This window comes from Homo sapiens, chromosome 3 (assembly GCF_000001405.40).
Source record: "Homo sapiens chromosome 3, GRCh38.p14 Primary Assembly".
In the NCBI taxonomy this organism is placed as follows: domain Eukaryota; kingdom Metazoa; phylum Chordata; class Mammalia; order Primates; family Hominidae; genus Homo; species Homo sapiens.
In genome coordinates, this window is record NC_000003.12 from 194,648,465 (window position 1) to 194,673,506 (window position 25,042).

Here is a 25,042-nt window from a genome sequence, read left to right on the forward strand (position 1 = left end):
ACCATCAAAGCAGCAAACGTCCTAAAAGCTTTTTGCACTTTAGGTTACTTTGTAGGCAAGGCCCACAGAGACGAAAGATGGCTTGAAAAATGCTGAAGAAATATTATAAATGTGTATCTTTGCAGAACAGCAATTCTAGTACTATTACTATTCTTATTTCTATTCATTAGGTATACTGTTACTTTTGTTCACATTTTCTGATGAATCACAACTTACATCCATAAGCTGTCAACAGTTCTTCCGATGTTGGAGGTCGGTGGGGATCTTCATCCTCTCTAGGCGTTATGATGTTAATGCCATAGGTAGCTTCTAAAACATGTCTTGGAATATTCTGGCAAACGTAGCTTGTCAGGGAATCCATTCTCTTGAACGGACTCCCTCCTCCCCATGGCATACAAATCGTGCCTCAAAGAACATGGCACTTCATTCCGCGTGTGACAAACACTCTCTCCTCTCCAAAGGAAGAGGATAGTTTTTGATTAATCTAAAAAGACTCAGTTGTTTTTTCCCTTTTAAACAAGGCCTTAAGCTCCCACGACTTTTCCATATGAATTCATTTAAAATAGTAATTTAAAATATATCTGAAACAGACTTTAAAGATGACACATTTTTACCCTGAAAAGATTACGCATTTGTGATTCTAATTTAGAGATAAAGCAAGGGGAGTCTCTGTTTCTAATGCCTACAGTTAGGCAGGATTACTTTTCCTCCTTTGTCTCATCTCCCATAGTTTGTCCAAATTTTCCTTAAGCCACTAACAATATTCTACCTTGTACTAGAGTTATTCAAGTACATGCCTCATGTGCCCCAACAGACTGATGCTTCGTAAAGGGCAGGAGCCATCTCTATTTATGCCCTATCCTCCACAGCACCTAACCTAAGGCTACCTGCAATAAATGATTCATGTCTCACTATTAATTTACAGAGAAACTTAAAAGGCCAGGCGTGGTGGCTCACGCCTGTAATCCCAGCATTTTGGGAGGTCGAGGCAGGCAGATTATCTGAGGTCAAGAGTTTGAGACCAGCCTGGCCAACATGGTGAAACCCCATCTCTACCAAAAAAAAAAAAAAAAAATTAACTGGGCATGGTGGTACATGCCTGTTAATCCCAGCTACTCGGGAGGCTGAGGCAGGAGAATTGCTTGAACCCAGGAGGTGGAGGTTGCAGTGAGCAGAGATTGCACCACTGTACTCCAGCCTGGGTGACAGAGCGAGACTCCATCTCAAAAACAAAAAAAAAAGCTATACACTTTTTCATATATATGTATCTATGAATAAGCTGTGGCCTTAAGTGTAGTTATGAAGGGAATTTTACTCTACTTACAAGCCAGCGGATTAGTGTGCCAATTTCATGAAGTCTCCTATTTTCTGCTAGTATCTACAAAACAATAATAGACTAACTTATTAGCTTATAAGTAGAGTAAAATCTCAGACCTTGCAGTTTTTTTTTTCTTTCATTTTCTTTTTTCTTAAAGGCAAGAGTCTCGCTTTGTGGCCCAGGCTGGAGGGCAGTGGCACCATCTCAGCTCACTGCAACCTCCGCCTCCCAGGTTCAAGAGATTATCGTGCCTCAGCCTCCCGAGTAGCTGGGACTACAGGTGTGCACCACCACGCCCAGCTAATTTTTGTATTTTTAGTAGAGACAGGGTTTCGCCATGTTGGCCAGGCTGGTCTCAAAACCTGGCCTTAAGTGATCCGCCTGCCACAGCCTCCCAAAGTGTTGGGGTTACAGGCATGAACCACCACACCTGGCCCCTGCATAGTTCTTAACAAATCCATCTTTGAGTCTTTTTTCCATGCTGGGCACTGTCCTAGATGCTTTATGTAAGTTAATTCATTATGCTGCTGAGAGGTAGCAGAGTTCCTAATTTACTGCTTACTAGCTATAAGAGCTTAGATAAATTATTTAACTTCTCTGTGCCTCAGTTTCCTCAAGTTTGAGGAAATGGGAATAACAGCAGTATCTGCCTTAAGCGTTGCTTTTTGAGGACTAAAAGGTATTTGGTAAGGGTTTAGAAAAGCACATAGCAAGTATTCAATATATGTTAGCTATACTGATTAAATATAATCAACCGTGAGATAGATTTTCCCCCACTTAGAGAAAAGGAAAGTATTTGGGAAGGTTAAGCAAGTTTTCCAAGGTCATTCAAACGGTTACATGGCATTGTTAAATAGGTTTGCAACTTGGAACTGAGTATCTGAAACCTGGATTCTCCCATTTCTTCAAGGCTACACTGCTGAAATCAGGAAATGAGGTTCTATTCTGAAGTTCTCATGCTATCTCACAGTATAAACTTGTGCAGATCACTAGTATTTTCAATTCTTCATCAAATCTGAATCCCTCAAATGCCCAAAATAAACCTGAAGCCCTAATATGCACGTAATAACTAGAGTGTTTCCAAAGCAGAAAGGATATTAGTGATACAGGAGGAACATGATCTCTCATCTGATCAATTGGGAGGATTCCGCTGCAAGTCATTTCTGCCTTGGTAGACACAAAAGATGGCATCACCAAGCCAGGACAGTCACACAGGCAGAGGCCAGGCTCCACATAGAGAGTCTGGAAGACAAGCAAGAGGTTTGAGCTGGGTATACAACAGATAAAAGGAAGAAAGAGCTGCATGCAAGTGGCAAAGCACCACAGAAATACCTGAAAGTGCTTTGTGTGACCAGGTGTGGCAGACACAGATACTTTCTTGTTGCCCATGATGGTGTTGATTGTTGAACTCTTACCAACATTAGGGTAGCCCACCTAGAAGAGACTCAGAAGTTACCAAACAGTAAAACAGTACATCTATCAAAAGACTCAAAGATATGACATAGATGGTGGCAAGACTAGCATAAGCATCTGGTTACTTTAGAAAATTATTTGAAATCCATGCTGTGTTTGTTGAGACATCTTTTTTCTCCTGTGGTGTGGGTATATTTATTCAGACACATCTCCAGTGACAAATGGCCAAGTTATGCACATTTTAATATTATATGTTTTGCTGTTAACAGCAGATGCTACAGAAAATTTCATCCCCTTGTTCCCAGCCTTCCCTCACTGCCCCATCTACAGACAGTGGTTTCCATCGCATCTTCCACACTGGGTGAGGCTGATCGGATGGACATTTGAATAATCACAACACACAATTATTTTTAATTTTCAGTCACGTTTTAGTTAAAGCCAAGTGGAATGTCTGGCATGTGGCAGGTGATCAATAAGTGTCTGCAGAATTTCTAGAGTAAGAAATTCAGAAAATGAGGGAGGATGCTCAGTTTTTCCATAAATGTGAGAAAACTTGTAGAGAAGCTGAACTTTCTGATACAAATTTTTAGCAACAATATAGAGAATGAAGCTTTAAAGCTCAGAGACATTAAGCAACTTTCCCCGTGTTCCTAACAAGTTAGTTCTACTGCTGAATTGGGAATTACACCTAGGTCTGTCTGATTCCACAGACAGCTCTTTTAACTACTGCACTAAAATAAGATGCTAATCTACTGTAGTCATTTTAAACAGGCATTTTGGGGCAGGGGGTTGGGGCAGAGAGAAGGGGGCTCAAAACTAACTAGGATTAGCTACACTTAGCATGTAACTGAAAAGCTGGGAGACTTTAAACATGCCATGACCTCCTTTCCCTCACTGTTATATTCTGGATAGGTCTTTATAATCAATACCTTCTCTAACATCTCACATCTCCTTAGCTAAGGATGGGGCCATCTAGAGCCATGTCGTAGCCCCTCGGGGTTTGCGCACTTCCGCAGCCACTTCTGGAATTAGGGTATGTAAGGCTGGGGATGGGATCTGCTTTCCCCTATCTACTATGCAGTGTTTATGCAACTAATGCATTTGTCATATTTCGTCCAGCCCCAAGATGCTGGGATTCTCCCTATTAAGCATCTGGAACATTTACAGCATAAGCTGGCAAGGATCACAGGGTGCCCAAAGAACACTGGGCTGAAGTCTGAAGACAACATTAACATCTCTCTCATTCTGCTGTCTTGGTACTTCACACGGCAGGAAAAGCTGAACTGAAAGGAGACTGGAGAATACATTCAATGTGAATAGGTATGTTACCAACACAGGCCTTGAGGAAGTTGATTCCTTTGAGTTGGGCTCTGTCTATCCCACTGCCTAATCCCGTGATGCCAGTGGGCAACAAGAGGGCAATGTTCCCTACGATGCCGGAAGCCTGGTTGGTCTTTGGGGTCGTGCAGCTACTGAAAAATGGGGATTAAAGACAATCACGTGGTAACAATGTTATGACATATGTCATCTTACCAGTCCGACCGTAAGTTGCCCATCTTTCACCTTTCTCCCAGTGTGTAGCTCCTTAAAGAGCTCCAGTAACTCCTGCTTGGATACCAGATGGCTAAAATTGTGTATCTGCCTCTTCTGTGGGGTTTTCCTGCTCCGAGCCTCAGAATCTGCAGTAGAGCTTTCCTTCCAGTCCTGGCTGCAGTCCTCTTCCTTGGGACCGTCTTCTTCTGAGCACGTCTGCCAGTCGTCTTCCTCCTCCTCTGGACAGTCCTCATACTCACTGTCATCTTCATCCGTTGTGGGATTTTCACTAAGTGAAGGAGAATCCCTAGCTGGGAGATGTTCGGATTCACTGTGGGAAATTTCAGCCTGGTCGAAACTGGAATGTCCAAACTTGGTTGTGTTGCTTTGTCTATCATCTCTGTTTGCCTCTTCCTGACAAAATAATAGAAACGCTCAGAAGTATATAACTGCAGTTTCCACTCTAGTAAAAATACTTAATGAGTTGTAAGATGGACAGAGGATGGCTGGGCGTGGTGGCTCAAGCCTGTAATCCCAGCACTTTGGGAGGCCAAGGTGCGCAGATCATTTGAGGTCAGGAGTTTGAGACCACGCTGACCAACATGGTGAAACCCCGCCTCTACTAAAAATACAAAAATTAGCCAGGCGTGGTGGTGCACACCTGTAATCCCAGCTACTTGGGAGGCTGAAGCAGGAGAACTGCTTGAACCTGAGAGGCGGAGGGTGCAGTGAGCCGAGATGGTGCCACTGCACTCCAGTCTGGGCAACAGACAAGGCTCTGTCTCACAAAAAAAAAAAAAAGATGAACAGGGGACAAGCAAAGTTCGACGGAGATGGAAAGGTGAACACAGGGAGGAGACAACGAAAGCCTTTCAGTTCAGTGCCGTGACAGACAACCATCGAGGGTGGCGCCCTCCTGGAGGGGAGAATTGGACCTTCCCTTCACTTTTTACTTTATATGTTTCTGTACTATTTGAACTCTGTACAAAGAACATGTATTACTTTTGTAATTTAAAATAACTCTAGGCCGGGTGCTACGGCTCACGCCTGTAATCCCAGCGCTTGGGTGGCGGAGGTGGGAGGATCGCTCAAGGCCAGGAATTCAAAACCAGTCTGGGCAACACAGCAAGACTGGGTGTCTACAAAAACAAACAGAAAACCACCACCACAACAACAACAACAAAACTCTTCAAAGACAGCAAGGGGAAAAGCTTATGTTAAACTGAACTCTTGACAGTACGTTATTTTGCAATGGGCTGCATGATAAAACAAAGCATTTCTCAGGAACAACAACACATTTAACATACTCCTCTCTGCACAAAGCAAGGGCAGACTTTGCCATTTGCAGTTCATTTTACATTTGTATTTTTAAAGACGGTGGTTGGCATGTTTAAAGAAATCTGCTCTTCTCTCATAATTGCTTTTAGAAGTCAAAGCACCATGGAGCACACACAGATCCCTGTGTGTGAAATGTGGCAGCAAAACTCAACTCCACATGTGGAAATTATTTACTGATGAAAGATTCCCTTTGGAAAGTGAAAGGTACAAATCATTTTCTACTCAAGGGTGTGTTAATTCTTCTGAATCCCTCTTGACAACAAAGCAGAAATAAGGGTGAATTTGTCGGGACTTGAAAGTGATGGAAACCTGGTATCATTTCCAAGTAGCTTTGTTAGAATGATTAACAGTCACAGAAGGGGACACGATGAACTCAAACATGTATCCTAAATCTTAAGAAAGCAGAAATAAAAACAAAATGTCAGGAAAAATAGGTATGATTTAACAATCAAGCCTGGCAACTCAAAAAGAACCCTGGCTTATGAGAGAAATATAGAACTGGAAGCAATTTCTATGGTAAATGAGCAGCGAAGGTAAAGAAGTCAGTGTCGTCACTGTGGGCTCTTTTGAGTCATTTTCAAATATGAAAGTAGCATAAAAACAAGAATGTGAACTGAACATGAATGTGTAGTAGAAAAACTACAGCGGGGAGCAGTTCAGCTTCAGGAAAAGTACTAAAGACAATCAAAGGACTTTGCCGTAATTATGTTAAAAATTAAAAGAAAGAAGGAAAAAGTCAAGCTTTCGGGGAACACAGTGCACTTTCAAGGTGACCAAAGGAAACCAGAGATACTCAACTCAGAATTGGCCTGTGTCTTTTGAAAAATGTCACATTTTTTCAGAACATTCACGTTTTTCAAACAACTGAAGTTGAACAACTATAGAAGATGACCCAAACTTCCAGGCAAGAAAACAGTGAATATCAGGCTACTTCTAATACATTCATGTTTGATACCCAAATTACAGATATTAGTATCAAGTTACAAGTAAGACTTCACAACCTGAGAAATCATGGAAAACAGCAGAGTCCAGAAAACTTGGGAGAAGCAAATGGCGCCTCACTCTTAAAAAGGAGGAAAGAATATCTTCCATAAACTATACACTGTTAATCCAGACACTGACATTAAAACAATTCTACAGGTGACCTGGTGAGCCCTAAAAATAAGACAGTCATCAACAGGAGGCAGTGAGTTCCCTGAAAACTGATCATGCAAAAAATTTCATTTCCCTTTGTTATCTTGGTTAGTAAATCAAGAAGGCCACAGATGCAGAAACTAATCTCTTCCATTTTTGATAGGGTTATTGCATCAGGGCAGAGCAATATAATGATAAGTATCTATTTTAAAACTTCACCAAGACATTGACTTCCAGGAAAGACTGGAAACAATAGAAATAATGGTTTAACAGGGCAAACTATTCTTCTGCCTAAGAATGGTAAGTATCTATACTTACTGCCGAGAAGACTAAATGAGTAAAATATGTAAAGTGTTTAGAATAGTGGTGTCTGGTAAAGAATATGTTTTTATTAACTGATTAATTTTATGGGTTAGTTTTAATTATAGTAATAATTATTATTGGTATATTCTTGTGAATATATCTATATTCACATAAAAACGCTTGGCATAAGTCAATCCTAAGCCAAAAGAACAAAGCTGGAGGCATCACGCTACCTGACTTCAAACTATACTACAAGGCTACAGTAACCAAAACAGCATGGTACTGGTACCAAAACAGAGATATAGACCAATGGAACAGAACAGAGCCCTCAGAAATAATGCCACACATCTACAATTATCTGATCTTTGACAAACCTGACAAAAACAAGCAATGGGGAAAGGATTCCCTATTTAATATATGGTGCTGGGAAAACTGGCTAGCCATATGTAGAAAGCTGAAACTGGATCCCTCCCTTACACCTTACACAAAAATTAATTCACGATGGATTAAAGACTTACATGTTAGACCTAAAACCATAAAAACCCTAGAAGAAAACCTAGGCAATACCATTCAGGACACAGGCATGGGCAAGGACTTCATGTCTAAAACACCAAAAGCAATGGCAACAAAAGCCAAAATTGACAAATGGGATCTAATTAAACTAAAGAGCTTCTGCACAGCAAAAGAAACCACCATCAGAGTGAACAGGCAACCTACAGAATGGGAGAAAATTTTTGCAACCTACTCATCTGACAAAGGGCTAATATCCAGAATCTACAAAGAACTCCAACAAATTTACAAGAAAAAAACAACCCCATCAAAAAGCGGGTGAAGGATATGAACAGACACTTCTCAAAAGAAGACATTTATGCAGCCAAAAAACATGTGAAAAAATGCTCATCATCACTGGCCATCAGAGACATGCAAATCAAAACCACAATGAGATACCATCTCACACCAGTTAGAATGGCGATCATTAAAAAGTCAGGAAACAACAGGTGCTGGAGAGGATGTGGAGAAATAGGAAAACTTTTACACTGTTGGTGGGACTGTAAACTAGTTCAACCCTTGTGGAAGTCAGTGTGGCAATTCCTCAGGGATCTAGAACTAGAAATACCATTTGACCCAGCCATCCCATTACTGGGTATATACCCAAAGGATTATAAATCATGCTGCTATAAAGACACATGCACACGTATGTTTATTGCAGCACTATTCACAATAGCAAAGACTTGGAAACAACCCAAATGTCCAACAATGATAGACTGGATTAAGAAAATGTGGCACATATACACCATGGAATACTATGCAGCCATAAAAAATGATGAGTTCATGTCCTTTGTAGGGACGTGGATGAAGCTGGAAACCATCATTCTCAGCAAACTATTGCAAGGACAAAAAACCAAACACCGCATATTCTCACTCATAGGTGGGAATTGAACGATGAGAACACATGGATACAGGAACAGGAACATCACACGCCGGGGACTGTTGTGGGGTCGGGGGAGAGGGGAGGGATAACATTAGGAGATATACCTAATGCTAAATGACAAGTTAATGGGTGCAGCACACCAACATGGCACATGTATATATACGTAACAAACCTGCACATTGTGCACATGTACCCTAAAACTTAAAGTATAATAATAGTAAAATTAAAAAGAAAAAAAAGGCAACCTTAAAAAAAAAAAAAAACGCTTGGCATAGAGTGCTGCTAGTAAGTCCACAAAAGATCACAGAGCTGTATCCTTGGACCTAGCCTGTTCAACGATGTTATCAATGACACAAAAATTCACAGTTAGAAGGCAAGGAAATGCTAACTGCACACTCTAAAATGAACTCTACCTTGGTACTAAACCATTAACATATTTAAAAGGAACAGTACTCTCCTAAGTTGAGGTAAAACAGAACAAATATCTTTCCATATAAAGATGGGATGAGGTTTGCTTAGTAAGTTTTTTTTTTTTTTTTTTTGATATTTGAGGGATTCGGTTGCTCACAGGTTTAATGAGCCAAGAGCAAACAGCTTCTGAAAGGGGATGAACTAACAGAAACTGAATTAATGTGACTATCCTGATCACAAGAAATATGAATGCTGTGTATACGCCCTAGGCAAATACCACCTGGAATAACGTATTCAATTAGGTGTGGCTAGTTTTGCCTGTGGTCCTGACGCAAGAAGACAGGCACCCAGGATGGGTGTCCCGGAGCTGGTGTCTATGAGGAATATGAAAGCTGAAAATGCACAGCTGCAGGAGAGAACCGAAGGGACAAAGAGTCCTCAGATCAAAGGGTAGGGTGGCTGACTTCGTTTCACTGAATGGAAGAACTTTCTACATTTAGAGGTAAAAAGAAACGAGTTACCTGGTCTCAAGCATCCTGTCGCTTAAAATAGTCAAAGAGAAATATGCAACTTTGACAGGGAAGTGGAGGAAGAAACTCCTTCACATAGTTAGAGGTGAGAGCTTATATACTGAGCTCATGGAGGGGAGGGTGTTGTATTCATAACCCAGCTCAACACACACTCCACGGTCAACAGATGCCTGATAAACAGAGACGGGAGAAAAGGACAGGGAAAAAGACAGTACTTCCTAAGTCTCTCCATCTCTACGATTCTAATTACTAATTTCTTTTCATAGCTGTTGTTATTATTATTATTTTGAGACAGAGTTTCGCTCTTGTTGCCCAGGCTGGAGTGCACTGGCATGATCTCGGTTCACTACAACCTCCGCCTCCCAGGTTCAGCCGATTCTCCTGCCTCAGCCTCCCGAGTAGCTGGGATTACAGGCACCCGCCACCATGCCCGGCTAATGTTGTATTTTCAGTAGAGATGGGGTTTCTCCATGTTGGTAGGGCTGGTCTCGAACTCCCGACCTCAGGTGATCTGCCCCTCTCGGCTTCCCAAAGTGCTGGGATTACAGGAGTGAGCCACGGCACCTGGCCCTCTTATAGATATTATTTTATTCAAAAGTAAAAATAAAGCCCAAACTACTTTTGCAAAATTTGGGCTAAAAGATAAAATATGTGGTATATCCTAATTTAGGGTTACTTAGTTTCTCTGTTTTCAAAACAAAGTCAAAAGAGATTCTAATCAAGTCCTGAGAACTGACTACATCCTTCAGTTGTACTCTTGTGTTCTGACTTCTCTTAAAAGCAGTTACAGGGTCATTGTGGAACTTCCTATACAATTTCCTGTCTACAACCTTTTAAAAAAATTTAAAAATACAGCTAATATCAGTGTGTAACAACACTGGAGAGGTCAGACTGTCCAACAACCACAGAGAAAGTAACTTTGTGATTCACTTTCTATAGGTCATCCTAATCCAGCACACAGAGGAAAAACTCTAATTCCCACAGATTTTCCATAAGAATAAACAAAACACAAACGAAGCACATTAACAAGAAATCAAAATTCCCTCTTTGAAAGCCAACCTAAAATGTCCCTCAGGTTACCTCAGAGTCACCATTCAGGGGAATGGCTCCGGCCAAAGCTGACCAGAAAATAACCTTCACATCTTCTTTTTCGAAGTACATGGCCCAGGCACTCCGCTGCTCAGCAGTCAGCAAGTCTGCCTTGTTGATCAGAATGACGTTCTCCTTATTGGCATCCATTTCTTTCACATAACATTCCTAAGCAAGACAAAGAGATTTAGAAAGACCTCTTCAAACAAGTAAAAAAATGAGGCTAATTATATTAAAGATCCCAATACAAGTTTTTACTGCCCCTAGTTTTAAATCATTTCCTAATTTAAACATTTTTAATCATGACACATTATACTAATCCTTTCAGTAAGCTTTGAAAAGAAGTTCCACCATTAATATTTTTGTTATGCACCAGTGGGTTTAAAAATAATCTGGGCCAGGCATGGGGGCTCACGCCTGTAATTCCAGCACTTTGGGAGGCGGAGGAGGGAGGATTGCTTGAGCCCAGGAGTTCGAGACCAGCCTGGGCAACATGACAAGATCCTGTCTCTACAAAAAATTAGATCTATAAGATAGTAATAAATAAATAAATAATATGTATTACAGTTCTCAAAAAGAAATATGAATACCTCACATATTATACAATGTTTTGTTAACTAACCCAAAGCTGTATTACATTATTTCATGGGACTCTCACATGTTAGTTATCAGCCCCTGTGGTGTTTCATAAACTTAGTTCACTTGTAAAATACCACAGGGAGTCATAACTAAAGTGTGAGAAGACAGAACCTTATGGGATGAATTAAAAAGTGAAGTGACCGGCAATATGCTAAAATAAATAAAATGCTATTTCAACTGGTGTTCCCTGACAAATGGGAAACCGGCAAATGCCTTAAGTGGCTTCTAAACTAAAAGCTAGAAAGCTCATTTAAGTGTCTGTGCCTTCCTGCAGATGGACACCATTGTTTGAGAAAACATCTGTCTCAACAGTGGCGTTCTGCAAGCTCCTGGCCTTGGAAGGAGGGAAGGCCTCACTAAACGAAGCCAGAGAGGGCAGAATGTATGCCTACAGTCATTGCTGAGGGATGCGGTGCTGGCACTGCTACTCAAAGGACTGATGTTTGAATTTTGTCAAACTTGACTTACCAAATCCTCACATCTAAACAGGAGTGGGTTTCGAGCATCTACTATCTGGACCACAATATCACTGAAAAACAAACACGAGATAGACCAATCACCGTGAAGTGAAAGGGATTTTACTAACCACATAATAATGGCCAGAGTAGCAAACCCTGGCAATATATTAAGCACTGGACATATATTAACTTTTTAAGGTATAATTATTCCCGGTTTATATATGAGTGACTTAAGGCTCAGAGCAGTTAAGTAACTTGCCCAAGGCCACCAGCTAGTAAGTAACACAGCCAGAATGGGAGCCCAGGCAGCCTGGACCAGAGGTGATGCTCTTAATCATAACATGCTATTGCTCTCATACAGCCTAGAGGGGTTCGGATGATGTTTCATTGCTAAGACATCCACCGTACTTCTATTAAACTGTCCTGGTGAGATAAAAGAGTATTCCAAACACTTCACTCCACGGCAAAGTCTACTAAATATTCAATCCCTAATCTGCCCTCATGTTAAGGCCTCAAAAGAAAACTAGTAAATCACTTGCTGACAGCTGCCACTATTGAAGCTAGTATCTTATTTAAACCCAGGAATAAGAAGGAAGAAAGCATATTTTTGGCAAACAATCATCCACCAATTCCAACAATGTGTTTAAATGGCAAAAAGAGAAAACAGGAAAGTATTAACTTAGGTTGCCCGGCTGAAGCAGGAATGGCAAGTCCAACTTCTTCCATCACGTATAAGAAAGTACAGCAATAAGATAACTTTCTGCAGCTGGTGGCAAGCCCCTCAAATCCCTCACAAATATAGTGGGGACTACAGGTGTCCAGCACTGCAAGGAGAAAAAAAAATTCCCTTCTATGGGAGGCTCCTCCCTTCCTTCAGCCTCTGTGCTAGATGTTATAAAGGCCCACCGTGACTGCCGCTGGGAGGACATAAGCTACAGATGCATGACTACCTCACGGCAGAGTCTCCCCAAAATCCTTATTCTGTTAACCAGCCTTTTCTGAGGCAACTTTGCAAATATGCTAAATTCCAAGGAATTAAGGTTACCATTTAGGACATTCTTTTGACAATTAAAAGTGCATTTTCTTTTAGGATAGTTAAAATGTCAGCATAATCCTCTGACACAAACTCACAGAGTTGCTAATTTTGGACAAATTGTTTTTTAAGTTCTCTAGTTCAGCTGCTTCTAGTATTTCCTTCTTTAAGGTAATAATGCACTTTCAAACTGGATATTTAATAGTGAATGAAAAAATGATTACAAAAAAATGGACAAAGCCTAATCAACTAAAACTACAATGTCTACAAACATTATGTTTACATACAGAACATGTAGGAAGAACCATCAGTTTAGAAATAGCAGTAAGAAAAGACATTTCAAGACAGCTGCTTCATGTGCTGAGTGAGGATGCAGAGCAAAGCACCAGCCATGTAGCAGGAGGGGTCTACACAGCACAATGGAAGTGCCTTATCTGACTGGAAGACAGTGTTCCGCCCTCAGTGCCTCTGCGGTTTCCTGCATTTCAAGGACATGTTATACATCTAATCTTTTCTGATAACTACTATTAGAATTAAAGAGGCAGATGGTTTAGCCAGCCTGTTACCAAACAGGAGACATCTGCTGTGGAGAAGACATCAATAAATATTTCCCATTCAAAGATGTGGCGGCAGTCATTTTTAAATAAATATTTCTGTGTAATTCAGATCCACTTTCATATAACTATATTCCTTGAGCTAGAAAACATGTTCTCTTATTTAAAAAAAGGAGAAATATCACATAACAAAAATAAGAGAGCAAATAATACTGTAATCCAAGCTGAAGCTAGAAGTTTCAACATGTACAGGCTCACTTGGGAAATTATTAGGGACATAAACAGTGTAAGAGGGGCTTCCTGTTAAACTGAACACAGATGGTTACCTCTGCTCCCTCTCAAAACCTACAAAAACAAAGGCTGAAACCCATTAGGATAAAGAGAAAGAACAGCAGCAACCAAATGTCAAACCAACAAGAAGCAAACCTGTTCATGCCCCTGACGCCCAAGAAAGCCCAGTATTAGAAACATCAGCTCTATCTCTCCAGGGCAAGAACGAGGCCCGCGCCCGTAATCCATCTGAACAGTGAGCTCATAGGTCGGCTACCCTGTTCCATTCAGTGAGGCAACTGCAACCCACCACACAGCCCCCATTCCCCACCCCAATAGCAGAAGGCTAGGGTTTATTATGGAGAAAATGAACTTGACAAGTTCCAGGACTGGGACCTCAGGCACAGGGAAAATGGGAAAGAGTTGCCATAGGGCAAAAAGGGGAATTCAGCATAAGCCTATGAAGATACTGAACTGTGAAGGTGCCCAGCACCCTTGTATTATACCACCTCCTGCCCCTTTCCTGGCAGGAGATCATTCTTCTTTTTAAAAACTGACTGGCACTGGGCACAGTGGCTCATGCCTGTAACCCCAGCACTTTGGGAGGCTGAAGTGGGTGGATCACCTGAGGTCAGGAGTTCGAGACCAGCCTGGCCAACATGGAGAAACCCCGTCTCTACTAAAAATACAAAATTAGCCGGGCGTGGTGGCGCGTGCCTGTAATCCCAGCTACTCGGGAGGCTGAGGCAGGAAAATCGCTTGAACCCAGGAGGTGGAGATTGCAGTGAGCCGAGATCACGCCACTGCACTCCAGCCTGGGTAACAAGAGCGAAAGTCCGTCTCAAAAAACAAAACAAAACCACACACACACAAAACTGACTGGCTCTGGGGAAAAGACCTACAGATCTTAACATCTTGGGGTATTCCAACAAAATAAAACTGACCCCTGCCCAGGCACCCTACAGTGAAGCTCACCAGTTGGCAAATTCCACCTAAACAGGCAGGCTTGTCAACCGGCTTTGTAATGCTTTGTTCTTAAAGACAGATAAACACCACTAGACACCTGAGGAAGGCCTCTTCCGTAAAAGTCAGAAACCAGGAGAAAAAGAAAAGGAACAAAGAGGAAAGACAGATAATATAGGAAGTAGGACAAAATCTGAAAACAAAACAAAAACTGTAATTAAGTGTGAAGATGGAGGGTGCTGTCCTCAAGGTCCGGGCTGCAGTACTTCTGCACTTGTTACCATTTCTCTTCGGAAATTAGAAAACGGGCATTCTCAGGAGTACACAGCATCAACTACCAAGGAGGCACCAACGAAGAGGCTACTCTGCTCCACAGCAGTTCCCCAGTTCCCCAGGAGAATGACTGTGGGCCTTCCGAAGCCCTCCTCAAGCTTGAGTAAAAGGAGCCTGCATGGACCCCAAATCAGCAGAAACCCTTTCCCTTCTTCCGCCTCAGAGAAAGCCTTTCCCTTCTTCCGCCTCAGAGAAAGCCTTTCCCTTCTTCCGCCTCAGAGAAAGCCTTTCCCTTCTTCCGCCTCAGAGAAAGCCTTTCCCTTCTTCCGCCTCAGAGAAAGCCTTTCCCTTCTTCCGCCTCAGAGAAAGCCTTTCCCTTCTTCCGCCTCAGAGAAAGCCTTTCCCTTCTTCCGCCTCAGAGAAAGCCTTTCCCTTCTTCCGCCTCAGAGAAAGCCTTTCCCTTCTTCCGCCTCAGAGAAAGCCTTTCCCTTCTTCCGCCTCAGAGAAAGCCTTTCCCTTCTTCCGCCTCAGAGAAAGCCTTTCCCTTCTTCCGCCTCAGAGAAAGCCTTTCCCTTCTTCCGCCTCAGAGAAAGCCTTTCCCTTCTTCCGCCTCAGAGAAAGCCTTTCCCTTCTTCTGCCTCAGAGAAAGCCTTTCCCTTCTTCTGCCTTAGAGATTTGCCTTGCTTCTCTGACCTCCCCGCATCCCAGCCCAAGAGCCCTTTCTGTACCCGTAGAGAGCTGAGGATGGGGGCATTCAAGTGACTTTGTCATCACCCTAATAGGAAATGTAAGTGACTTTTACAAGTTTAGTCCAAGTACTGTTTTCTTTTTTTTGGAGACAGAGTCTTGCTCTGTCACCCAGGCTGGAGTGCAGTGGTGCGATCTCGGCTCACTGCAACCTCCACCTCCTGGATTCAAGTGATTCTCCTGCCTCAGCTTCCCAAGTAGTAGCCAAGCCTGGCTATTTTTGTATTTTTAGTAGGGACAGGGTTTCACCACGTTCCTCAGGCTGGTATCGAACTGCTGACTTCAAGTGATCCACCTGCCTGGACCTCCTAAAGTGCTGGGATCACAGGTGTGAGCCACCGCGCTGGGCCCTGTTTTCTTAATAACAATGCTAAATGTGATAAGATTCTTTTCTGAGAATCCCAATTAAAGCATTCTGTTTCCTAGTGTTCTTACTAGGTTCACTTTATAGATTTCAAAGGAAAAAAAACCAGCCTGAAGGGTCCTTGTTGAAAACATTTCAAATATAAGGTTCATTTATGGCATCCTTGAAAGTAATTCAGAAACTCTTTGAGGAAAACAGAAACCTTTTAACTATACCAAAGAGGTGAGATTAGAGACAGGTGTTCATCAACTTCTAACAATCAGGAATTCTCCTTAGCATTACATGAAAAAGAATAAAGATCTCCCATTCTCAATTTGTCAAAATCATTCTCTTCTTTTCAGAGCCCAGTTAAAAAAAATAAAAACCAGGCCGGGCATGGTGGCTCATGCCTGTAATCCTAGCACTTTGGGAGGCTGAGGCGGGTGGATCACGAGGTCAGGAGTTCGAGACCAGCCTGACCAACATGGTGAAACCCTGTCTCTACTAAAAATACAAAAAAAAAAATTAGCTGGGCGTGGTGGTGTGCGCCTGTAATCTCAGCCACTTGGGAGGCTGAGGCGGGAGCACTGCTTGAACCCAGGAGGCGGAGGTTGTGGTGAGCTGAGATCGTGCCATTGCACTCCAGCCTGGGCAATAAGAGCAAAACTCCGTCTCAAATAAATAAATAAATAAATAAATAAATAAAAAACATAAAAACCACCCCGTGATTTCCTCAATACTTATCAACCACTCCTTCCTCTGCTATGACTCAGCCCACTGCCTTTCTATCTGCAGCAAAGCAGGAATCATACTGCCCTCTGTATTTCACTACGTATTAAGTTTTCTGAGTGCAAGAATTGCATGTCATTCATCTGTGTGTCCCTGGTGCCTGGTGCTTTGCTTAGCATTTAGCTGAACATGGTGTAACTCGGCTGACAGGAGCTCTGACATTCGCCTCTCCCCATAACATAGATGCTCTTTGCAGGCAGGAACTTAACTCTTTTTCGTATCCATATTTTCCACATTACCAGTAGAAACCAAATATACATTTGCTAAAATATCTATATAGGTGCTTCAGAATTCACCTTGCAGAAAATGTTCATTATTCTCACACACTTATCAACATATTCATCTAACAACAAAAAAACTATACAAAATATACGGTAGTATCATGCTGTGTTTTTATAATTCTCAGTAACCCTCTGCATAGCTTAATTCCCATACCCTGAGCCTATAAGCCTATATCAACAGCCAAATCGAATATAACTTCACTACAATGTCTTTATTACACAAAAGAAAATGATAATTCACCTTCTCTCAATGACTCTCCAGAGCTGGCGCCAAAAGTCCAAATTTCGTTCAAATGGAGTCAATATCAGCTTCTGTTCCTCTTCTAGCCTAGTTTTTGAATGAGAAGTTTATATATTTGCCAGATTATAATAGACAATTTTTAGCAGTGTAAATGCTCAAATTTATTACATTAAAAATAAGTACTGGGCACAAATATCCAGAGTCAAATTATTTTATATATTTCCTGCTGAGACACCATAAAAATACTATTTATTTAGACAATACTCCACCAAATTCAAATTTTATCCTGAAGCTATTTATGCCCTGGAAGTTTACCTATCACACAAAGTCATTTCTTTCCCACACTCTTACTGGAAAAATGTGCAGGAGAGCAGCGATCAACTCCAGGATGCCCAATGGCCAAAGAAGGGAATGAAAGGAAAAGGCCCGGAACTGAGCAGAGTAACCAACTCACGATCTCTGTGCAAGGATGCATTTGCACCTAGCAATCTTGTTTGTGCATACATCTATTTGCACTTGTTAGCAGAATGCTACCATTTCCTTCTTAAAAGAATCAAAACTTCAAAACACAAATGGCTGTGTAAGCATGCCAAATATCTGAACTCAGGATTTCAAAGTAAGTCTTCATAGAGTCTATAATACTCACCGGACAAGCTGACGTCTCCATTCTAGAAAGTTATCTTTCTCTGCTTGTTTGAGTTCTTCTGGGGTAGTATTTTGGTTCCAGTTTGGTCTGAAACAATCATAGAAGGAAAAAAATTCCTCATATAAGTAACCAAAATAAAATAGGTAATTTGGATCTAATAATGGCAGCTGAGAAAAAGAAGCAATTTAAAAAATGAATACTCAGCAGCCTCGGATGTTTTGTGGCATTCTAAATTCTTCTTCAGCTCACCTCCTCGGTATACACAAGAACTGTTTGTTTTCTTCATGGAGCTTCTTAATTCTCTGGCTCTCCTCGAAAGACAGTAGTCCAGTTCTAGCCTCAGCAGGCACAAACTTAATATTAAGTTTCTCTGTTCAAATAAAGAAAAGTACTATTACTTAAGAGGCAGTATAGATACAGAGTGTTTGGTCATACTGATAAACTGAGAAAACTAAAAATGAGAGCCTAAGAGAACTTAAGATTTCTTGATTTAGATTCTTCTAGCCTTGGGTAAATTATTATTCCCAAATGAAGTTTTATACCAAATAACTATCCAGAGTTACTACATTCTTTTTGACTGCCACACAGTATTTCATACTGTGTCTATATCACATTTTCCCTGCTATTGAACATTCAGTTTCCAAGTTTTCATTATTAAAATACAGCATCATCTGGTAGCTTGTTAAAAATGTAAATGCTGCAGCTCTAACCCCCACTCACTGAATAGATGCTCTGGAGTCTAGAGGATAGGGCCAGGAATCTGTATGAAAGAGTTCTCCGGGCAATTCTGCTGCTCTGGGGTAGATGCTGAGAAGTAGAGGTGCTGGCTCATAGGATATGAAACTGTAAACTTGCTTTCTTTGTCTTCTGTTTTTTTTTTGAGACAGAGTCTCACTCTGTCACCCAGGCTGGAGTGAAGTGGCACAGTCTCGGTTCACTGCAACCTCAAACAATTCTCCCAACTCAGCCTCCTGAGTAGCTGGGACTACAGGCCCGCACCACCACGCCCGGCTAATTTTTGTATTTTTAGTAGAGACGGGGTTTTGCCATGTTGGCCAGGCTGGTCTCGAACTACTGACCTCAGGTGATCCGCCCGCCTCGGCCTCCCAAAGTGCTGGGGTTACAGGCATGAGCCACCGCACCCAGCCTGCAACTGTAAACTTCGAACAGATACTGCCAAAACAAATCTTTCCAACTTCCCTCTCTACTGTCTCACCCCATAACCTAAGAACATACTACCATTAACCCTGATCCTTCTCATACACACCCTTACACTTCTCTTTCCCTGCCATAGTCAGCTATCTCAGGAGAATACAACTTGCTCATTCCTTGATTTCCTCACCTCCCACTTCCTGTTTCTCTAGATTCCAGCTGTGGCTCTCTCACTCCACTAAAACTGTTCTGGCAGATATTACTAATGACTTTAAGAAGAAAATAGCAGCCAGGTGCGGTGGCTCACGTCTGTAATCCCAGCACTTTGGGAGGGCAAGGTGGGCGGATCACAAGGTCACGAGTTCGAGACCAGCCTGGCCTACAAGGTGAAACCCCCGTCTCTAGTAAAAATACAAAAATTAGCCAGGGGTGGTGGTGCATGCCTGTAATCCCAGCTACTCAGGAGGCTGAGGCAGGAGAACCGCTTGAACCTGGGAGGCAGAGGTTGCAGTGAGCTGAGATCGCACCACTGCACTCCAGCCTGGGCGACAAGAGAGAGACTCCGTCTCAAAAAAAAAAAAAAAAAAAATATATATATATATATATATATATATAGCTTTACTACAATATGATTCACATACTATACAATCCACCCACTAAAGCATACAATTCAATAATTTTCAGTATATTCACAGAGTTGTGCAGCCATTGCCACAATCCATTTTAGAATATTTTCATCACTCCAAAAAGAAAGCTTTACCCATTAGCAGTCACTGTACACCCCCAGGTACCTGGTGGAAATCATCTACTTTCTGTAGATTTGCCTCTTTAGGACTTTTTGGTGTTTCCACTTTTTGGTGATTACGAATAATGCTGCTATGAATACACATGCACATATTTTTGTGTAGACATGTTTTCATTTCTTTCGGGCATATACCCAGGAGTGGGACTGCTGGATCAGATGGTAATTCCATGTTTTACCTTTTGAGGAACTGCCAAAATTTTTTTATAAAACAGCTACACCATTTTATACTCCCACAGCGATGTATGGTGTTATAATTTCTCTACATCCTCACCAACATTTGTTATAGTCTCTTTTATTTTAGCTATCCTAGTGGGTGAAGTGGTTATTTCACTGTGAAACCCAGGAGTTTATTTTTGTCCCTTCACTCTTTTTCACTTACACTACCCTCTCCATCAAGTCTGGTTTACTCTAGCTCCTTAAGTGTTCTTGTTCCTCTTATTTTCTCCCTTCTTCTACTACCTGTATTTCAGTTCTGGCCTATTTTGCTAGACTAAAGTGATACAGTCTCCTAACTCATCTTGCTTCCTTAAAATTCATCAGTGATCTTTTAAAAAATGAAATCTCATGTACCCATGAGACATACCTGCACTCCCATGTTCCCTGCAGCGCTATTCACAAGAGCCAAGATATGGAACCAACCTCAATGCCCATCAACGTATGAATGGATAAAGAAAACGTGGTATATGTAGTATACAATGGAATACTATTCAGCATTACAAAAGAGGGAAATGTTGACACTTGTGACAATATGAATGAACCACTCTGCTATGAGAAATAACCCAGGCACAGAAAGACAAATACCACATGATCTCACTTATACGTGGAATAAAGCCGAGCTCATAGAAGCAGAGAGAAAATGGTGGTTACCAGAGATTAGGGAGTGGGGCAAATAGGAGGATACTGGTCAAACGGTAAAGTTTTACTGAGGCAGGATGAATAAGTTCTGGAGGTCTAATGTACAGCCTGGTGTCCATAGTTAATAATAACACATTTATTAGTTAATAATATGAAATTTGCTAAGACAGTATATATCTTGTTCTCACCGCACACACAAAAAAACAATGTGAGGTGATGGATACGTTAATTACTTGATTTTAGTAATCATTTCACAATATATACATATAACCAAACGTCACACTATATACTATAACTATATACAATTTTTAGTTGCCAATTGTGTAGCTCATTAAAGCTGGAACCCACACATCCCCCCAAAAAACACTAAACAATGAAATCTGAAATCATGTTGTACACGTGCTTAAAGCCCTGTAAAGCCTTAAACCTTTGTTCTCTCCAGAATCTGGCCCTTGCCCACCTCCTCAGCACCTGTGCTCATCACATCCCGCCCCCTGCACCAGCAAAGCCAAACTTCTAGCCATTTTCTGAACAAAGTTGGCTGCTGCTTCACATCTGGGCTCGAGTCCTCTGCCTGTCTGTGTAAAAGGTCTTATCTCATCTGTCCTTTGAACATCTACTCATTGTTCAAGACTCAGGGCGGGCACGGTGGCTCACACCTGTAATCCCAGCACTTTGGGAGGCCAAGGAAGGCGAATCACGAGGTCAGGAGATCAAGAACATCCTGGCCAACATGGTGAAACCCCATCTCTACTAGAAATACAAAAATTAGCCAGGCGTGGCAGTGCGTGCCTGTAGTCCTAGCTACTTGGGAGGCTGAGGCAGGTGAATTGCTTGAACCCAGGAGGCGGAGCTGCAGTGAGCTGATATCACGCCACTGCACTTCAGCCTGGGTGACAGAGCGAGACTCCATCTCAAAACAAAAAACAAAAAAAACCTCAGCCCCAGATGGAAATGTGACAGTCTCACCTGCACTCAGCAATAAACAACTTACCAGCTACAAACTCTGTTCCTGCAAGTTCTGCAGTAGCAAGGAAGTCATCAAGGGAGCTCTGTTCAGTCACTGACTGAAGATTAAGACGACCCCAATCATAGCCATCATTGAGTTCACTTGTGTGCAACTATGAAAAAACACAGGGTGATAAATACAGCTGCTCTCTTCTGCTCTTGGCATCCAATAAGCTCTAAAATTCCTTGCAACTAGTCTATGGTCTTGAGGGTGGTTGTAGTCCCTTTAGAATCAATACTACTTATAGTTAATGTTTAAAGGAACACGTTCTTACCTCACAATAGGCAGTTCCCTTTCACCATTTCATTAATTTTCAAAATCTTTTGAGGTGAATTTTACTGTATTTCCATTTTACTGATGATGAAACTAAGGCTTCAGCAGATAAAATAACTTGCCTATAGTCAAAATCTAAATGGCACAGGTAGAACTTGAACCCAGATTGTCTGACTGTGCTAGTCAAAATTAGTCAAAACTTTATTTGATATAATCCCACAATAAGAAATACATTTTACATAGTGACCCAAAGGTGTATGTACATATAATGATACAAGCATTCAAGTACCGTTCAGTACAGTAAAATGGCAATAGAAGAATACTGAAACCACACCCTATTACATGCAACATTCTGATATTTCTCTATCTTGCTGGGGAAAAAATAAAAACAAAACAAAACAGCTAGCTGCAGACCACTAAATTGACTTCCAGACACAACCCAGAGTTTGATAACCATCACCCTAAGCTATATACTTAGTATAGATACAAATAAAAAAAAATTGCCAGGCGTGGTGGTTTGTGCCTGTAACCCCAGCTCCTCAAGAGGCTAAGGCAGGAGGATTGCTTGAGGCCAGGAGTTTGTGATCAGCTTGGGCAACACAGCAAGACCCTGTCTCTCCAAAACAAACAAACAAAACCAAACAACCAGGCCTGATGGTGTGCACCTGTAATGCCAGCTACTCAAGAGACTGAGGCAGGGGGATTATTTGTGCCCAGAAGTTTGAGACTGTAGTGAATTGGTGAGTTATGATCACACCACTGGCACTCTAGCCTGGGTGACAGAGTGTGACCCTGTCTCTAAAAATGAATAACTGAATGATGAATGAATTTCCTAAATAAATATTAAGGGCCAAAAGTTTAAGTGGGCATAGAATCAGCAAAAATAAGGAATTAGGATCCAATTCTTTACCATTCATGTTCAATCTTCCCACAGTTTCCTAAAAGGCTTCATTAGTAACAAGTTGCTTCAAAGCTAATAAAAATTACCAGTAATCTAATGTCCAGAGTAACTCTGACCTGATGAATACTGATAAGCACTCCATGCTGTTTACTCTGCAGACTATATGGATGAAAGTCAGCTGGTGTGACAGTGGCACACGCTTACTTAGCTCCAGGGACATATTTAACTAAATTTAGCACACGATCTTAGCACTCAACATGTTCTCATTCATTCCCGGGGGAATGAATGGTGAAAATAACGACTAGAATGATGAACACAAGCCAAATCACTTCATTCATTTTTTTAAAGATCCTTCTATAACCTAGTAAAATATTAGGTCTTGTCACACCTGAAAAATCAATGATTTATCTTTGAGCTAAACCACTAGGGGGTGCTTCGCAAGGATGAGGCAAGGATCTGAATTATTTTATATTTCTGGCAGTAACCAACCGCTTCTGGAGGATCCATTCTTTGAACAAATCAATACAAAAATACGTTTTGTCTTTTTCCTGCTCTGGAAGTTCCAAGCACTTCAGTGGCTTCTAGGGCAAAACCCAAACGTACTCAAGACCTGGCATTGAAGACTCTTCAGATTCTCACTCCACGCCTCATCACCACACTAACTCTTCTTTCAAGCTTCTCCTACCTTTGTGTTCTGGGCCTTGCCAGGAGGAGGGCCTGCTACTCAGCTTGGCAGAAACTCCAACTCATCCTTCAAAACCCGGCTGAGGCGTCCCTCCTGCAAAACTTATCTGACTTTTGACCCCGAATTTTGCAGCACTCAGGCTAGACAGAAAAGATAAGAAAGATGACATGGTCTGTCTTACCCAGGAGTCAGTGTGACGATGGCTTCGGCTCCGCTGAGTCTGATGGCGCATAAGGGCCCGTCCCAGCGACCCACCGGCCGGGGCTCTCCTCCGGCCCATGGCAACACGACCGCTGGACGAAGCTTCCCGGCTCGGCGCGTGCAGTTTCCGGGATTCACAGTTCGATCCCCGGAAGTGACGATAAGCGAGCCCAAGTAGTTCAGGCTCAAACTTGAGAGGGGAAAGCAGAATGACTTGTTCTCAAGTTCTCCTTTTACGTCTCGATTTTACCAGTATTATAGAATATAAGTGAAAAAATGGTTCTGGGAAATTTTCGATAGATTTCCTGGCGAATGTCTCGAGTTTGGATAAATGACTGAGTTAAAAGAATGGTCCATTCTTAATTTGTGCGTCGGTCTTTAGCGTCCGGCGAGAAACTAGAGCACGTCGGAAACATGGCGGTTCCTATTCGCGGCACTAGCTCCGCCTTCCGCTGCTTCCGTCAGGAGGACGCGGAGACTCGGAGGAAGAGTGTTTCGGTGGCGCTGGGACGGGGGCGTTTCCCAGCGCTGGTTTTCTGCTGGCGTCCCGAGGTGTGGTCTCTCCGAGGTCCAGCACAGCAACTAACTTTTTGTTTATCTAGCCGACCCCAGCTGCGAACTGGGGAGAAAAGTCTTCGCCTGGATGTGAATTTGGAATGAGAGGCTGAATAGTATTTCCAGAGCTTGGCAAGGTTGTAGGAAAAGCCAACAGGAAGTGACTTACGCTTTATTTCAAAGAAAAAAAAAATGTTTAAACAGTTCTAATTATATTTTCATTACCCTTTTTAAAAATAATTAAAATGAAAGTGAAAACAGTGAGCCAGCTCCACTCCTAGAGGCCTGGGCTTTTGTTCCTCACTTGAATGTTTGATTTCCCTATAATGGGAATAATAGAAAGTCAGCTTAGAGTGGCTGGTGAACTACATTCTCATTGATCCAGAGAACCATCTCTTTGTTTTGATGCTTGGAGAGAGGAAGCAGCTTGAGCAAGTCGTAGATTGAGTGCGTGCAGTGTCAGGAATAAACCCAAGTCTTGTCACTAGCCTGTACACCCCTGGGGAGAGTGGGGAATGAGGGTTGTTAACATGTATTATTTATTTATTTTTATCTTTTGAGACAGAGTCTCGCTGTCCCCCAGGTGGAGTGCAAAGGCATGATCTCGGCTCACTGCAACCTCTGCTTCCCGGGTTCAAGTGATTCTCCTGCCTTAGCCTCCCGAGTAGCGGGAATTACAGACACGTGCCACCGCACCCAGCTAATTTTTGTATTTTTAGTAGAGACAGGGTTTGACTATTTTGGCCAGGCTGGTCTCGAACTCCTGACCTCAGGTGATCGCCCGCCTCGGCCTCCCAAAGTGCTAGGATTACAGGTATGAGCCACTGCGCCTGGCCAAACATGTATTTTTAAATCATAGGATCGAGGT

General features: G+C 42.0%; 1 protein-coding gene across 1 annotated transcript in view, besides 2 other annotated features; it reads right to left on the reverse strand.

The window, feature by feature from the left end:
• LSG1 (large 60S subunit nuclear export GTPase 1) overlaps nucleotides 1-23,727 on the reverse strand; it is a 31,401-nt gene extending 7,674 nt beyond the window's left edge. Inside the window, exons 1-11 of the mRNA NM_018385.3 lie at nucleotides 23,600-23,727; nucleotides 21,545-21,671; nucleotides 17,988-18,108; nucleotides 17,739-17,825; nucleotides 17,093-17,179; nucleotides 11,609-11,669; nucleotides 10,493-10,669; nucleotides 4,265-4,678; nucleotides 2,651-2,752; nucleotides 2,417-2,560; nucleotides 217-340 (exon numbers count right to left, since the gene is read on the reverse strand). Of these exons, the coding sequence (NP_060855.2) occupies nucleotides 217-340; nucleotides 2,417-2,560; nucleotides 2,651-2,752; nucleotides 4,265-4,678; nucleotides 10,493-10,669; nucleotides 11,609-11,669; nucleotides 17,093-17,179; nucleotides 17,739-17,825; nucleotides 17,988-18,108; nucleotides 21,545-21,671; nucleotides 23,600-23,698 (1,543 nt within the window). The 5' untranslated portion in view covers nucleotides 23,699-23,727. The remainder of the gene's footprint in view (nucleotides 1-216; nucleotides 341-2,416; nucleotides 2,561-2,650; nucleotides 2,753-4,264; nucleotides 4,679-10,492; nucleotides 10,670-11,608; nucleotides 11,670-17,092; nucleotides 17,180-17,738; nucleotides 17,826-17,987; nucleotides 18,109-21,544; nucleotides 21,672-23,599) is intronic.
• Nucleotides 6,239-6,288: an enhancer, noted in NCBI's record as "active region_21031". NCBI's record gives its function as "activates an Ori minimal core promoter by ATAC-STARR-seq in GM12878 lymphoblastoid cells {active_cell/tissue: GM12878}" and the evidence as "EXISTENCE:reporter gene assay evidence [ECO:0000049][PMID:35858748]".
• Nucleotides 12,922-13,122: a silencer, noted in NCBI's record as "peak4980 fragment used in MPRA reporter construct". NCBI's record gives its function as "represses an SCP1 promoter by STARR-seq MPRAs in K562 erythroleukemia cells {active_cell/tissue: K562}" and the evidence as "EXISTENCE:reporter gene assay evidence [ECO:0000049][PMID:32103011]".
• Nucleotides 23,728-25,042: the final 1,315 nt, after the last annotated feature.